The following is a 17,341-nucleotide window of genomic DNA, read 5'->3' as shown; positions in this document are numbered from 1 at the left end:
AGGGAAAAGTGGTTTAACAGCGGCTTGTATAGACAAAAACTGCCTGCTCTAGTTCCCCACAAACTCCTTATTACCCAGCATTGTGACATAGCTTCTAAATACAGTAGCATACTATAAGATGATATTTAATATAAATGTTAAATCTAGAAAAAAGCAATAGCTGTATGATCATTTATTGTGAGCTGTTGAAGAGAGATTCCTATCATTAAAAAAAAACTATGAATGCCAACAATAGTGGATTGATCAAATAAATTATGATACTTCCATTTAGTTTCTATTCTGTATTTTAAAACAATGTTGATGAATATGTATTGACATAAAAATAAATTCAAGATGGATCAAGTGAAAAAAAGATTCACAACAGTATGCACATTTTGATCCCATTACAAAAATAATATAAATAAACACATCCCTCCTCTGTCTTACTTGCTCCCCCTCACCTTTCTCTCCATTTATACACACAGAGTAACAAAAGGTTTGGAATGCAAAACATGCTTGCTAACACTGGGTATCTCTGAGTAAGGGAATCAGATATTCTGAATTTTTTTTCTCATGTATCCATACATTTTAATTTTCCAAAAGAGAAGACACATTGTTTCTGTAACACAGACAAAAATTTAAATGAATGAATCCTGTACTACTAGAAAAACTGGTTTTAGTCTAAGTGTTTTTCAATTATTAAAAAACTGTGATATTTTCTCTCACCTATTGGTTATAATGCATTACTTAAAATTATAATCAAGGACTGAATAGCTTCCTTATAAATGACCTTAAAGGTCCAATCTTAAACAAAAGAATCAAATTATTAGTAAAATTAGAAGAATCTTATCAACATGATACAGAGAACAATAATATAGTGAAGAGTGAAATAATGTATCCACTAAGTGCTAATTAGTTACAATTATCACCAGTCACCTCCTGACTTCTTAAGATAGTCTCTAAAACATAAAAACAGAAAAAAGGAACCTATCAATACATGATCAGGAGAATATTTGATGAATGCACAAATACTGTAGTGTACAGCCACACCAGACTTTTTGCCACAGAAGTTACCTGCTGGAAGTATTCCTTCAACAATCCTGTGTGACAAGAGCTCTTAGATTCAGAACATATGGGTACTATGACACAGAGACAGCATCACTGTGAAATAACCAATCAAAAATCTTTGCTTCCATTCTTTCATTACATTTCTCTCTCAGTAAGATCCAAGAAACAAAAGGTAGTCAGATCTTCAATGCCCACTAAGAGGTCTCCTTAGGTTCAACTGAATGTGCAAATTCACGGGACAACCATAGGCCATCCTGAGCACCTGTCCACCCAGAATATTACAGGACAAGAACTAATGCATGTGAGTAGGGCAGAATCAGGTATTCCTCTTCTGCAGGAGTCTCTGCAGGTTCCATGTAGTGGTTCACATAGCTATCTAGGAGCTTTTTTTTCCTGGCCTCTTAGATCGCAGCTTAGGTACAACTTGAGATTTACATCAAGCAGGTGAGGGAGCTGCACTGACCTAGAGGCTTCATGCCCCACCAGAGCCAATATTTCTTGTAACAACTCAATGGCCACAGCTGCCAGAATCAAGGGACATGTCCACTTATAAGTCACCACATACAGAGAGACCCAAAGATATGGCTTCCTGCCAGGTGTTTGTAGTGCTACCAGTTCAGATGAAGCTTACCAATTAGGGGTTATTTCTACCATAAGCAATGTTGTCTATTAACACAGTTGACATACTACCCTTATCAGATTACCAAGGAAACAGAGCTAGAGTTAAAAGAAGGTCAAATTCTCATGCTGAAGGAAAAGAGTTTGTTAAAACTTTTGCCCACACAGGGCAATATACTTTCTTATAGCACTGGTTAAGAGTTGAGGTAAGAATGACCATTCAGTTACTATGAGATGTTAGAAGCCAGCTTAGGGGATGGGGCTGAGGGTAGGGTGAGAATAGGAGGCTGGGGATAATGTAAGACAAGGGAAATGAATCGAAGAAAATTTTCTTGTAACTCTGAACAACATCTTATTTCTACTTGCTTTAATTCTAGGTAGCAGTTTAATAAAAATAGATCTAAATGTATTGTTTTTATTTTGTAAGCAAGTAGAGTGAGGTCCTAGACTATTTTATTTAAATAATTCATCTAGAATGAATCTATAAAATACAGATTTACCTCTTCAGCTTTAGAGGTATCAGAACTTAAGAAAATTTTATGTCTTGGCAAATAAAATGTTTACTAAAATCTTAAAGTTTTGTTTAGCTTGCTCTATGTCTAACGATAATTTGTAAAGAAAATCAATTATGACAAAAATATCGTAGTTATTATTGTCACTAACAATTGCTGAGTGGCTGTTAATTGGAGTTCAAAATGGTTCTTTGATGTAGACACATTTAAAGATCATAGACATTTCAATGTCTAATATAGCGTGTGGTTCAGAGTGGGTGTTCAATAGAACTGCTGAATTGATGAACATTCAGAGACTGTACTTTTGCATTCTATTTTGCACAGCTATTACCTACATAACCAAAACTTTTATCAACATCAATTAGTGTTTCTTAGCATTAACCAGAATGGACATAGCTAACCTTAAATCTACACTCAGTTCAACAAATACTTACTGAATATCTCTATGTGCCATGCTCTGTGGTAGGTACTGGGAACATCACTTTTGCTTTCCAGGTGTTCTCTCAAAATTCTAATACAATGACAGAGAGTACAAAATTGGGTGGGTGCACTAAAGAATGAGAAAAGAAGTCTTTCTGACAGGATGTCTAGGCCAAGTCTTAAGTTAGAATGAGACAAACGCAGGTAAATGAAGTACATTCTGCATTGAAGAAAGAGCTTGAGCAAAGGTGCTGAGGTGAAAAAAACATGGTAGCTGGGCACAGTGGCTCTTGCCTATAATCCCAGCACTTTGGGAGGCCAAGGCAGGTGGATTGCCTGAGCTCAGGAGTTCAAGACCAGGCTAGGCAACACAGTGAAAATCCATCTCTGTTAAAATACAAAAAATTAGCCGGGCATGGTGGCGTGCACCTATACTCCCAGCTATTCAGGAGGCTGAGACAGGAAAAACTGGGAGGTGGAGGTTGCAGTGAGCTGAGATTATGCCATTGCACTCCAGCCTGGGTGACACAGCGAGACTCTGTCTCAACAAAAAAAAAAAAAAAAGAAAAAAATGGTATATGCGGTAGATCTAAATATAGTTTAGTACTGCTGAAGAAAACACTAAATACTATAGTGAGGAAGTAAGAAAAAATGAGGCTTCATCAGGAGATAAATATAAAATATTTACCTAGTAAAACAATGGTATACATTTATTATTGATTGATTGACTGACTGACTGAGACAGGGTCTTGCTTTGTCACCCAGGCTGGATTTGGAGTGTAGTGGTGTGATCTCAGCTCACTACAACCTCCGCCTCCTGGGCTCAAGGGATCCTCCCACCTCAGCCTTCCAAGTAGCTGCGATGACAGGCGCACAACACCATGCTCGGCTCATTTTTTTAAAAAAAATTTTTGGAGACATGAAGTCTCACTATAATATTGCCCAGGCTTGTCTTGATCCTCCTCCCTTTGCCTCCTTAAGTGCTGGGATTACAGGTGGAAACCACCGTGCCTGGCCCAACAATGGCATTTAAAATTAATGCTTATAAATCTACCCAGTGAAAATAAAGCTAGAAATGTCCCTTGTCTCCTCCTCAACCCGAAACCTTAAAATAGCATAAGCTTAATTTTGGAACATACAAATTACAGATATGTCTTATTAACTACACATCAACTAAATGCTGAGTTCATCTTTTTAGCTTTGTTTTGTATATATTCCAGGCAATGAACATAAATAATCTTCCTATCTTTAAGAAAGTTCACATAAGGCTCAGAGTTTAAGTGTTTCCTACTGAAAAGTCTATAATTCACAGAATATCAAACTTCAGCATTTTATTTTGTGATGTTCCTATTCCCTACTTTCCATGTCATCTATGGTTTACCTGATAGGCAGTCATTAACTTCAACACATTCAACTTTGAAGCAACTCATATGATCTTTCATTAAACTATGATATCCTATATTAATTTCCTTTTCTGAGTTTGATTTTTTTGACATATTTTGTTGAATGATGATTTCAAATGCTCATAATACTGCCTCTGAGCTGTTACTGTTAAAGGAAATAGTCTGGTTTCCGCCACACAACAGAGCATGCTCACAAGCTAGGAGAACACAGAAGCATCTCACAAACTCATGGGTTTGCTCTCTTAACTGAACCTATGGTTCACACAGGTCTACTGGTCCAGCCTCCTCCAATCTTAAAGCTGTTCTCACAAAACGTTCCTCCCCCTCCTACCTTAACAACGCTGGAAAATACCAGGCTATTTGAAGACAGGAGAGGCTCATCACAAAGACTGAAAAAAGATCTGCTAGGTCCCTCTTGATACATGGTCCAGAGGAAAGCAGAAATGGTCTGCCTTTCCCTGAGTACTACCCAAGCAGGTTGGGCTTACATATTTAAGACTGTGGATAAAGTCGGCAGCTATCAAACCCCTAATCTTCCTTTTAGAAAGTGGTAATTCTAAATTTATTATCTCCGGATGCTGGCTGTGCAACTCCATCTCTATCAGACTCCAAAGCAGGGAAGAATCTCCCCTGACTACTGGTGTATGGGGCCTGAAAGAAGTAGGACACAAGCAGGAACCATAATTTTAGGAAGTGACTGTAATACATAATTTCAGCTCTCAGGTATGTTATCAGAAATACATTAATATAAAAGTAGTGGGCTATATATAAGAAAGAACGGTCAAGATTGTAATTATTCTGTTTTTCATACATCAATTACTAAAGAAATAAAAGAAGGAAAGAAGAAAGGTAAGGAAGAAAGTAAGAAACAATGAAGGGGAAGAAAATGAGCCAATATAAAGCCTCCAATTATTTTTCAGGAAGTTATCTTAAAGTTATTGCTCCTTTAATTTGTTTGTGTCTTGAGTAAGAGAAGATTGATTTCAGGTGTAAGGACTGATGGGCCCTAGGCAAAATAATTAATAGCTGGGAATAGGCAGGGTTGGGGCTGGGAGAATCGGTTTGCCTCAAAGAAAGGTATCTAGCAGCCAAATTAGAGTATTCAAGGGGTTATGAAGAAGAATATAGCTTTGATCCAGGCTACTACCAGTTTCTAGATAATCTCATCTGGTAGAAGGCACACTATGGAAAGAATCTTTGTGTAGTGGCGGTACTTAAAGACAGCTGGTGGGGGCCGGGCGCGGTGGCTCACGCCTGTGGTCCCAGCACTTTGGGAGGCCGAGGCGAGGGGATCACGAGGTCAGGAGATCGAGACCATCCTGGCTAACACGGAGAAACCCCGTCTCTACTAAAAATACAAAAAATTAGCCGGGCGTGGTGGCGGGCACCTGTGGTCCCAGCTACTAGGCGGGAGAATGGCGTGAACCCGGGAGGCGGAGCTTGCAGTGAGCTGAGATCGCGCCACTGCACTCCAGCCTGGGCGACAGAGCGAGGCTCTGTCTCAAAAAAAAAAAAAAAGAAAAAAGACAGCTGGTGGGAATAGTATGTTTCCTTTAGATTCACCCTATATATGAAAGAGCAAGAGCATAAAGACTCCCTGCTTGGGTGTAAGAAGCTATAGTCCCACCAGAACCCAGGAGAAACAAGTTTGCTAGTATTAGACATATTATCAATCTTCAATCTGAGCAAACAGGGTGGCAATGGTAGGAGAAAACTAGAGCTTGTTGGCACTTATGGACTCAATATAGGCACGTGATTACTGGACTAAAAAGACAGATTAATCCCCATCCAAGAATAGGATTATTAAATACCTTGGCTCAGGAACAGGTTGGGCAGAGTCCACAGGTCAAAGGGCTTAGATATTGGAAAATAAGAAAACAGCAATATTATAACTGGTATATTAACAGGCTTTTCAGGACGTGTAAATTGTACAGTGGTGGGAAAGGCCACCAATAGAGAGGCCATTAAGATCTCCACTTAAAAAAATAAATAAGTGAGCCCTTGTTCACATAGGCAGTGTCATCCAAAATATGTGTAGCACAGGAGTCAGCAAACTAAGACCTGCTGCCTGTTTTTGTATTAAAAAAAAAAAAGTTTTCTTGGAAAATAGCAATGCTCATTCATTTATGTATTGTCAATGGCTGCTTTTGCACTAAAAAAGCAGAGTTGAGCCAGGTTCCTAAGGCCTAAATATTTACTATCTGGCCTTTTACAGAAAAAGTGTGCTGACACTTGCATTAGAGTAACACAATCTGGAAAGAACCCTAACGATCCCCAACTTCTATCCCTGCCATTTATTTTATTTCAATTTCTTGCATCAATTAAAATTTGGATGTTTTTCAAAAGCAAATTATACTAAAATGAAGACAATAAATGAGTAAAGATCCTGAAATCACAGGAAAGACAAATTCAAAACTAATGACTTAAATTGTGATGAAGCTGCATTGGTACTCAACCCACCCACAACTCCTAAAGGAAATTATAAAAGTAACATGTACCTCAACTTTATTGAAAAACATTTGTAGTTTTTCTTTATTAATTAGTACGCAAGAGGAGATATCATTATTAGCAATGTTTTTATTTGAATACTAAAACATAAAGTGGTTAAGTGAACTGTTTAACAAACTGGGTCATAGATCTCAAGGAATCCGCAAATATGTGCTGAGAAATTTTGACATTCTCCAAGATAATTTGTAATTATTTTTCGTCTTGGTTGTACTTTATTGTGTTAATGAGGATGGTGGTTATAGCTATGTAAGAAATATAAGTGACTGCATTTATATTTGGTTAATACCACTATATGCATTTAAGAAACTTTCTAGAAAAAGAGTGTGATTTTTTTCTTACTTTTAGAGTTGTAAATACAACAGTAAAACCTGAGAAATCCATAAAACAGTATGTTGGCAAAGAAAAGAGAAATAACATCCAAAGAATCATACCACCATGGTTAATGAAACTCAGGAGTGATTTTATGATTCAAATACTATTAATTATTAAAACTTCCTAAACCAAAGTTCAAACAAGATATTTAATCACCTGTAACAGTAATCACACATATGCCAAAAAAAATTCAGAAAACATTGTTTACTTGAAGTTAAAACAAAATGACTTTAGCAAATTTTTTACATTACACTGAGCTTGTAGAATATAAACAGTTAAGTGTTTATCATGCTTAAGTTGTCAAATACATAAAATTACACACATTTTAAAAGCAGGTTATGCAACTTCATTTATACTATTATTATACATTATTATACTATTACAAACTTTATACATTTATTAATTTACATTTTGAGTAAAGACTATAACTGTTTTGAAAGTAGAAACCTTGTAGTTTTTTACTTTTTACAAATTAAGATTCTAGGGATTACTGTCAAACTTTAGTATGTTGCAGCTTTCCTCTGACAGAAAAAAAAAGCTAAAATGATACATGTATATACATACATGTATGTATATCCATATGGTTACATCTATTCATCTTAAGGTTAAGATGGCAACAAAAAGAGAATTAGTTGAGCAATTCTATAATAATTCTGCTTTCAATCTAATATGTAAACAAAATGGGAAAATATTTTCAGACATCATGACAATGCAATGTTACTATGCATACTATAAAATACATCCTTACATATTTATGAATAAAAAAGTAAGCCCTCTATAGATGTAAAGAAAAGGTACATGAATATATATTTTACTCAAACAAAAGGAAATAAAAACGGAAAAAAAAAACCCATGGGAAATATTTAAAATCCTGAGGACCTGAAAAAATTAAAGATTTTAAAGAGGAGAAAATCTAAAGCTTTCTAAAGATACAGTCTAGATATTGTGATATACTGCCAGCTAGGATATATAAATCAACTTCACTTTTCTTAAAAATTATGTTTATGATATGAATCAATAGCTTTAAAAGTTTTCATAGACTGATTCAAGAATTTCATTTTCAAGAATTCTAGTCTTTGGAAATAGAGATGTTGACAAAGTATTACACACACAGATGACACACACACACACACTCACTGCTGTAATATAATAATGAAATACTGTAAACAACCTAAGGCCCAACATTAAGGGAATGGCTAATTATGATGTACACATATAAAGGAATATTACATTTGACAATTTTTAATAATATGAAAACATATTTATGATATGGTAGATTTCCCTTTTTCAATGAGTAAGAAAAACTAGATGCACAATATGATGTCAATTATGTAGAGGGAAAGAGTTGGGGGAAGGGTAGAGGAAAGACAAATGTGCCAAACTCTTCTAATTTTAAATATTTCCTAGATTTGCTAAAGTAAGCATAAAGTGGACTTAAAAAGAGAAACACTAAAAGAAAAAAAGAAATGGCCACTGAGCGACTGATCATTTGAATGCTATTACCAATTACTGATAATTACAATAATCTTACCTATCAGTGAGACTTAACATCACGAACAGCAAAGCAGGGTTATGATACAGGGGAAGAACACTTTGTAAAGGAATAACGATCAAAATAAAATCCTCTTTGATTATAAACTCAAAAAAATAAAAAATCAGTAATAATTATTAGTATTTGATTTTTAAATACCTTGGCAAAATTAAACCGCAAAAACTATTTCAAAAAATGAGTCATTCTGGGATTGGGAAAACTTTTTACAATGGAGAAGAAAATGTATGAGAAAGAATATGAAGAATAAAACAAGAGATAAATAGCATCAGCACCAGAATTAGTCCTATCTAACTTTTTAACAATCTTACTGGAAACATATAGAGCCTCTTTGGTTAGCCAATGAACAGATAGTGAAATGGTCAGGCAATGAGATAAACAGCAGAATTATCTCTAATTCTGAAATATCTCTGTGAAGAATGGTAAAAATCATAGATATGATTTGACTAAAGTAAGGCATTTAGGGAGAAATGGCAAAAATATATTTATAGAACAAAATAATCATACCCTATCAATCACTATAAAAAAAGGAAACTTGAAAGTAATTGCTTTTTCCAATTCTCCTGTGAAGTCTTCTGTTTAATTCTGTAACAAAATTCTGGGCATTCTTAAGAATACTAAAAACAAGTAAATATCTTTCAAGTTTAAAAATGTCACTATATTTTGGAATATGTGAGAACAGTCCATGCCTCAGTTAAGTCCTGAAATAATCAGTTTACAGTGTATGCAACATGCAAGCAGACAAATACAATTAACCTTCACTATTGTGGTAAGGAAACATGGTGAAAATTTATCAAGTGTCACAAGAATGTATGATAAAATTTGTTCTTTTTTTTTTTACAAAACATACAATTAAAAGATATATAAAGTATGCCTCTCCAGTGAGACTTTTCTTTTCCTTTTTCTTTGAGACAGGGTCTCACTCTGTCATCCAGGCTGGAGTGCAATGGGTGTGTTCAAAGCTCATCGCAGCCTTGACCTCACAGGTTCAAGCAATCCTCCCACCATGGCCTCCCAAATATCTGGGACTATAGGCCTGCACCACCATGCCTGGCTTTTTTTTTTTTTTTTTTTTTTTTTTTTTTGCACTTTTTGTAGAGACAGGGTTTCACTATGTTGCCCACGGTGCTCGCGAAGTATATATACTCAAGCCATCCACCTGCTTCGGCCTCCTAAAATGCTGGGATTACAGGCATAAGCCACCGTGCCTGCCTCCAGTGAGACATTTTTAAGGGGTGGCTCCATGCATTTGAAGCTTCCAAACACCCAACAGAATCTCACCAGTCACCAATAACCAAGATCCTCTCTGATCCTGTGCTAGAGAAATCCTTAAAGGAACTAGAAGAATTTCCTTTGTCTTTTTTTTTTTTTTGAGACGGAGTCTCGCTCTGTCTCCCAGGCTGGGGTGCAGTGGCGCGATCTTGGCTCACTGCAAGCTCCGCCTCCCGGGTTCACGCCATTCTCCTGCCTCAGCCTCCCAAGTAGCTGGGACTACAGGTGCCCGCCACACGCCCGGCTAATTTTTTGTATTTTTAGTAGAGACGGGGTTTCTCCGTGTTAGCCAGGATGGTCTCGATCTCCTGACCTCGTGATCCGCCCGCCTCGGCCTCCCAAAGTGCTGGGATTACAGGCATGAACCACCGCGCCCGGCCTCCTTCGACATTTCTTAATTGAAAAGTAATTTTTAAGTGTATTTACATTCAGATTATCAAATAACATTTTAATTATGCTAGTATATTTACATAGCTAACAGTAAATTTCCAATAAACTAATGCATTAAGGTAAAATTGTTTTACTGTATGCAAACTTAACAGTAACGGTAACCGCAATAGGACAGGAAAATTCTTTACGGGTTACCAGTACAAAATTACCAAGTGTGTATATTTATTGTATGTGTAGAAACTAAATAGAAAACTTTTTTTTTTAATTGTCAGAACCGGCTTTCACACATTTGAAAATATTTTCATATTAAAAAAGCCATTGCCAACTCTTCAGTTAAATATTTATAAATGATGTTAGACTATCTGCAAATTACAGAAATAGATACATGACTTTTAATATAAGCAAATATCACAATAAACAATTTATACAAAGTTCTTGTCAGTGTTCTTCATCTAGAAGTCTTTGTTCTGTTGTTACCTCTAAAATATCAGCAACATCACAAAGGTACACATTCAAGTAAGTAGTTATTGTAAAAAAAACTATGTGCAAGCTTTTCATTGATTTACTCACTTATCCATCAAATACACTTCATAAAACACTTTCATTGTGTTCCAATGACAATTTACAAATTCAGATAGCCAAAAGAAGTTCTGACCAAGCTCATATAAGGCCACTATGTTCTTCTGGAATGCCATGTTTAATACGCAAAAAAATGCATTCTGGCAGGAAGTGTTTAAATTAGTAATTCAAGCATACTTTTTGCTTAACAGACATTTTTGAAGCAAATCTTTTAAAGTCAGACAGAATTAAATAATAAAATCTATTTGAGGAAACTTCAAGCATTTTTTCTGTCCTACATAGTAGTTAGCAATAATGGAAAAATATGTTAGGAGATAGAATCAAACTTTATAACACTTTGCTCAATTATTTTTAATGAAGTCATTAAAGAGAAATGACAGTGGAGAATATTAAGTAGTAAACAACTAAGAGCCTCAGAAAATCTCTTTTTAAAAAAAAAGCATTTGCAATGCAAATAAATAAAAGCCATCTGGAAAGCCAAAAAAAAATTCACCTATTAGGGCATGTTAAGCCACCCATGGTCTAAACTTCCTTCTTAATAAAATCGCAAATACTGAAAAAAGACCGATAGAAAAAAAATTTAAGTATAAAGCGATGAGATAGGTTTGAATTCTGGCTCTTCCCACTTACTAGCTAAGGAATATTGAACAATTAATTTAACATTTCAGTACTGGATTCACTATCTGGAAAAGATGGACATTACTTAATTTGTAGGGTTTCTGTGAGTATCCAAGAAATAGTACCAGGGGAAAGTATTCATCAAAAGTTTAAATGCTACAGAAATGTAATACGTATTATAAGAAGAAAGTAAGGGCAAGGGGAAATACAAAGAAAATGCAGACCCCAAATGAAGTAAAGGGTAGGGAGGTGAGAAATTTTGAAAAACAGCACTATAAAAACAGTATTCATTGCGATGTTTAAAGTATTGAAATGTACAGGGTAAAAAACATCATTCTTGATGTAATGTATTCTGGAATAAACTATGAATCACATTGAAGATTTTAATATCTGTTCTTTAAAATCAATAAACTTGAACCAGATTTACACTAGTGCTTATTGCATGACCCAGAAAACAAAAGCAAACAAATTACAAAGCAGCAATAAAACAACAACAACTCAGTAAGTTTTTAGAATCTAACTTTATTTTTTTTAACTAAGAAAAGAATTTTGTGGACATGCTCTTCATGCAGCTGCTAAACTTTAAGATCTCAGATTCAAAGGAAGAAACCTAAGTAATGAGAGTACTGCAAATTCATTTGGTTAAATTACAAACCCTAAAGCATATTGTTGTGGGATTTTCTAGCACATTGAATTTAAAATTGGAAAAAATTTATTCTAGTATTGCAGTATGGGTTTCTAAGAATTATAATCTTTCTACTAATTAAGTAACAAGGTCTTCATACAGTCCACATTCCATGACCACAATGCCATTAAATGTACATAGAAATCAATAATAAAAAAAGATATCCTCACAGGCTTGGGGCAAAAACACTTCTAAAAAACTCAGGAGTCACTGAAAAAAAAATCACAATAGAAATTAGAAGACACTTACTAAAAAAAACAAAAACCTTATATAACAAAGCCTGTGAAATATAGCTAAAGCAGTACTTAAAGGATAATTAATGGCCGTAAGTACTTAAAGTTTAAAAAGATAAAAGGCTGAAAATTAATGAGAAAGTATATAAATTTAAAAGTTAAAAGTCAGCAGAATACATAATGAATAAAGCAAAATTAAAATGTAGAAGGCAGAAAAGACAGTTACAAAAATAAATGGAATAGTAAATAGCACACAATAGAAAATAACAGTAATACAAAAAACTGGTTCCTTTTCAAAAAGATTAATAAAATTGCTAATCTTATTACAGGGTTATTCGAGAACAAGAGAAGCATAAATAAAAATATTAAATATTTAAAATGAAACAACAAATAATGCATACATTAAACAAATAAGAGAATATTAAGAACTTTATGTCAATGAATGTGAAAACACAGATGACTTAGATGAATTCGTAGAAAAATACAATGTATTATCTAAAGAATAAACTGAGACTCTAAATAATCCTTTGACAACTAAAAAAAAAATTACATCAAAAGTTAAAAATGCTCTCACACACACAAAAAGCAACCTTAATAGGTTATAGATGAATTTCACTATGCATTCAAGAAACACAATTCTAATCTTATACAAAACTTCCAGAGAATAGAAAAAACGTATGGACTCATTTTTTAAAAAGGGCAATTACAGGCCAATCTCACTTCCTAAACAGAAATGCAAAATGCCAAAACTAAACATCTGTAAACTAATCCAGAAAGTATAAAAAAGATAACATGACAAAGTCTGTTTTGGTTAAATTTAGGAAATCATATAAATATAATTCACTGCATTAACAGATTAAAAGAGAAAAAACTATACAGTTATCATCTCAATAAACACATTTAATATAACTCAATATTTGTGCGTGATATAAACTTTTATACAAAAATTTGAGCTGTCTAAATATAATAAAAGGCATCCACAAGAAAAAAAGAGTAATAATTAAAGGTAACACCTGGAACGTATTCCTTTTATGACTGGCAACATTACAAGAAAATGCTCATTATCAGCACTGTAGATTCTAGCCCACAAAAAGCAAAAGAAGAAATAAAAGGCATAAGGTTTGGAAAAGAACAAACAAAAGCATTATTATTTGCTGAGAATGATCATCTCTTTTAAAAATACCCAAGAATCCACAAATATGTTATCAGATTTAAAAAGAATGTTTAGTAAGCTTTCTAAACAAATATATAAAAAAATGTACAAAAGACAACTGCATTTCTTTATATAAGCAAGAGGTAGAAAATGAATTTTAAAGTACCAAGACTACACATAAGAAAGTTACAGGGAAGATTTCAAAACTTTGAGAGACGTTAAAGTAGAGTAAAATATAAGGAGAGGTATTCCATGGTCTTGGACATAAAATTAAATTATAATAATTAGATCAATTCCATCAAAATCCCCACAAGATTTCTTATAGAACATGCCAAACTGATTATGAAATTTCTAACAGAGTACTATGTGACATGTCTTACATTATCAACTACCAAGACTTATCTAAACTTACAGCAATTAAGGGAAGATTCAGAACTACTTCACCAATGCAACACAATAGTGAGTTCAGAAGCTGACCCATACACATATGGAAATACAATTATAAGACCAAGGAGACACTGAAAATCAATGGTAAAGAAAAACCTATTCAATAAACGGCCAAGCGCGGTGGCACACGACTGTAATCCCAGCACTTTGGAAGGCCGAGGCGGGCGGGTCATGAGGTCTGGAGATCGAGACCATCCTGGATAACACAGTGAAACCCCATCTCTACTAAAAATACAAAAAATTAGCCGAGCGTGGTGGCACGCGCATGTAGTCCCAGTTACTCAGAAGGCTGAGGCAGGAGAATCGCTTGAACCCGGGAGGCGGAGGTTGCAGGGAGCGATGGCACCACTGCACTCCTGCACTCCAGCCTGGAAGACAGAGCAAGACTCTGTCTCAAAATAAAAAAAGAAAAAAAAAAAAAAGAAAAACCTATTCAATAAGCAGTGAAGGGATTGTTAATCAAAGAAGGCAAAAATAATTAGATCCTTATCCCAAACCCTGAACGGAAATTTAATCAAGGTGCAGATGGGTATAAAGACCTAAATGTGAAAGATAAAGCTTTAAAACTTAAACAGACAAAAAAGAATTCTAGGAGACCTTAAACACAATACACGCACACACACATACAAAAATAAGAAAATTTCTACTAAGTTAAAATTAACTATTTCTATTTATCAAAGACAACACAAATCACAAATTTGGAGAAGACATTAGCAACACACTTAAGAAGCAGATCAGTATCAGAACATAAAAAGAATCCCTATGAATCTAAAGTAGAATCATGAATGCATTATATACATATAAAAATATATTTATCTCATTAGCAATTGGGGAACTGTAAATTAAAATTATAAGATGCCATTTCACATCCATCACCTGGCAAAATTTAAATCTAAAATGAGGGACACAAAAGCCAGGGACAGAGAAACAGCAAAACAATGGAAACTCTCATACTCTGATGGTGGGAATATAATATTGACACAATAATTTTGGAAAACGTAGTGAATTTATCCAATAAAGTTGAACATAAGCATACACTGTGATCTTGCAATTCCACCTAAACATACCCAAGGGTAGTGTTTCTCAAAGTATTCACTGTGAGCAAACTCTTGTTTTTCTTTCTTTCTAATCTTTTGCTAATTAATACTTATGTAAAATACAATGAAAATGAATTACTAAATTCTAAAATACTAAATTTCTAAAATGACTGTAAAAGTGATCATGTACTTGGATGTTGCAGCAACGTGAAGTTGCCATAAAATGTTCTAAAAAGTCTCCATATTTGTACTTATTTTGTTGCAGACCAGTGACAGCTTACGGATCACCACTGTGATTCATGGGACACATTTTAGAAAGTATTGTTCTAGAGCAGTGTTATCCAAAGAACTTACTGTGATAAAAGAAATGTTCTATATCTGCGTTGTCCTCTATGTCCACTGTCATATGTGGGCTGTTAAGCACAAATAAAAGAGATAAATAACTAACTTTTAAAATTTCATTTAAATCAAATAAAATTTAAATGTAAGTCGTGATGTATGGCTAGTGGCTACTGTTGTAGTAGTGTAGCCTCAGAGTAATTCTTGAACATATGAACTAAGAGAATTTATACATAATCAAAGAAGTTCATTGGATCACGCTGGGCACAGTGGCTCATGTCTGTAATCCCAGCACTTTGGGAGGCCATGGCAGGAGGATCGCCTTGAGCTTAGGAGTTTGAGACCAGCCTGAGCAACATAGGGAGGCCTTGTCTCTACAAAAACTAAAAATAAGCCAGGTGTAGTGGCGCCCACCTGTAGTCCCAGCTACTCAGCAGGCTGAGGTGGGAGAATCACTTGAGCCCAGGAGGTCGAGGTTGCAGTGAGCTGTGATTGTGCCACTGCACTCTGGCCAGGATGACAAAGCAAAACCCTGTCATAGAAAAAAAAAAAAAGAAAAAAAGAAAGAAAGATAAAATGATACAAAGAAAAAAAGAGAAAAGAAAAAAACTTCATTGGATCAGTATTCCTAACAGCAAATAAATAAACTTGAAATAACTCAAATACCCATCACTAGTAGGATGGATAAATAAATTATAATACATTTAAATAGAATGCTTCAAATCAATGAACATGAGCAAACTATAAGTACACACACCAACACCAACATATGTATGAATCTCAAATAATATAATACTGGGTGAAATAAGCCAGAGAATGCATATGGTGTAAGTTCCTTTGTATAAATTTTATAACCAGGCCAAACTAAATATACTGTTAAAGATAAATAGACTATATAACTATTTTTTAAAAAGCAAGAGATGATTAAACCCAAAATTCACATTAGTAGTTACCTCTGGGAGGAGTCAAGCAGATAGGATAAGAGAGCAACACAGAATAATAAAATGTTTATATTCTCATTATTATGGTATTACAGGTTCATAGATATTTATTTTATTATTAAGCTTCAAAATTTACCATGTTGTGTATTTTATTTTGTATTAAATATTAGGCAATAAAAAACTTTAAATGTAAATGCTAAAGTATTTTGTAAAAACAGTGCTACTGAGACACAGCTGTCATGAAAGAAAAGTGCATCATATAATGAAAAACGGGTCAATTCAATAAGAAGATATAACAGTTATCAACATATGTGCACCTAACAATACAGCCCCAAGATACATAAAGCAAAAACTCACAGAATTGCAGGAGAAATAGACAGTTCAACAATAACAGTTGGCATCTTCAACACTACACTTTTGATAATGAACATACAAATCTAAATAGAAGATGAGCAAGAAAAAAGAAGGCTTGAACAATCCTAGAAACTAATAGACATCTATAGGAGACTCCACCCCAAGTAGAATACACATTGTCTCTCTCTTTTTTTTTTTTTTTTTTTTGAGACGAACTCTTGGGTCTGTCGCCCAGGTTGGAGTGCAGTAATGTGATATTGGCTCATTGCAACTTCTGCCTCCTGGACTCAAGTGACAGAATACACATTCTTCTAAAGTAAATACACAGCATTTTCCAGGATAAGTCACATGTTTATGGCATAGAAAACAAACACCGATATATTTTTTAAAGTTTGAAACCAAACAAAGTGGGTTTATCAGACTGTATGGAATGAAATGAGAATTTAATAGAAGGAAATTTGGAAAATTCATGAATATGTGGAAATTCAACAACATACTCCTAAATAATCAATAGGTCAAAGAACAAATCAGAAGGAAAGTTAGATATACTTTGAGATAAATTAAGACGAAAACATAACATATGAAAACTTATAGTATGCAGAAAAAGCAGTGCTAAGAGGGAAATTTATAGCTGTAAATGCCCACAATAAAAAAGATCTCTGCTGGGCATGGTGTCTCAGGCCTGTAACACCAGCACTTTGGGAGGCCAAGGCAGGTGGATCACCTGAGATCGAGAGTTCGAGACCAGCCTGACCAACACAGAGAAACCCCATCTCTACTGAAAATACACAATTAGCTGGGTGTGGTGTCACATGCCTGTAATCCCAGCAACTCAGGAGGCTGAGGCAGGGGAATTGCTTGAAC

At 34.6% G+C, this 17,341-nt stretch overlaps 1 protein-coding gene and 1 long non-coding RNA gene across 25 annotated transcripts in view; one reads left to right on the top strand and one right to left on the bottom strand.

Annotated features, from left to right (window-relative positions):
* Window positions 1-17,341, bottom strand: part of MBD5 (methyl-CpG binding domain protein 5) — a 496,045-nt gene that overhangs the window by 447,325 nt on the left and 31,379 nt on the right. For 9 of the 24 annotated variants that reach the window (XM_047445058.1, XM_047445074.1, XM_047445079.1 and 6 more), the window contains one exon: window positions 15,198-15,256. The exons of the other annotated variants lie outside the window; for them this stretch is intronic. The gene's annotated coding sequence lies outside the window, so the exon portion shown is untranslated. The remainder of the gene's footprint in view (window positions 1-15,197; window positions 15,257-17,341) is intronic. 24 annotated transcript variants of the gene reach the window in all.
* The window catches only part of LOC105373673 (uncharacterized), a 34,765-nt gene continuing 18,711 nt past the window's right edge, over window positions 1,288-17,341 (top strand). The window contains exon 1 of the long non-coding RNA XR_001739136.3: window positions 1,288-1,348. This is a non-coding gene — a long non-coding RNA (uncharacterized LOC105373673). The remainder of the gene's footprint in view (window positions 1,349-17,341) is intronic.

The sequence above is a fragment of the Homo sapiens genome, chromosome 2, assembly GCF_000001405.40.
Source record: "Homo sapiens chromosome 2, GRCh38.p14 Primary Assembly".
NCBI classification, from domain to species: Eukaryota; Metazoa; Chordata; class Mammalia; order Primates; family Hominidae; genus Homo; species Homo sapiens.
Note: the sequence above shows the minus strand (reverse complement) of the source record. Positions and strands in the feature narration are given on the sequence as shown.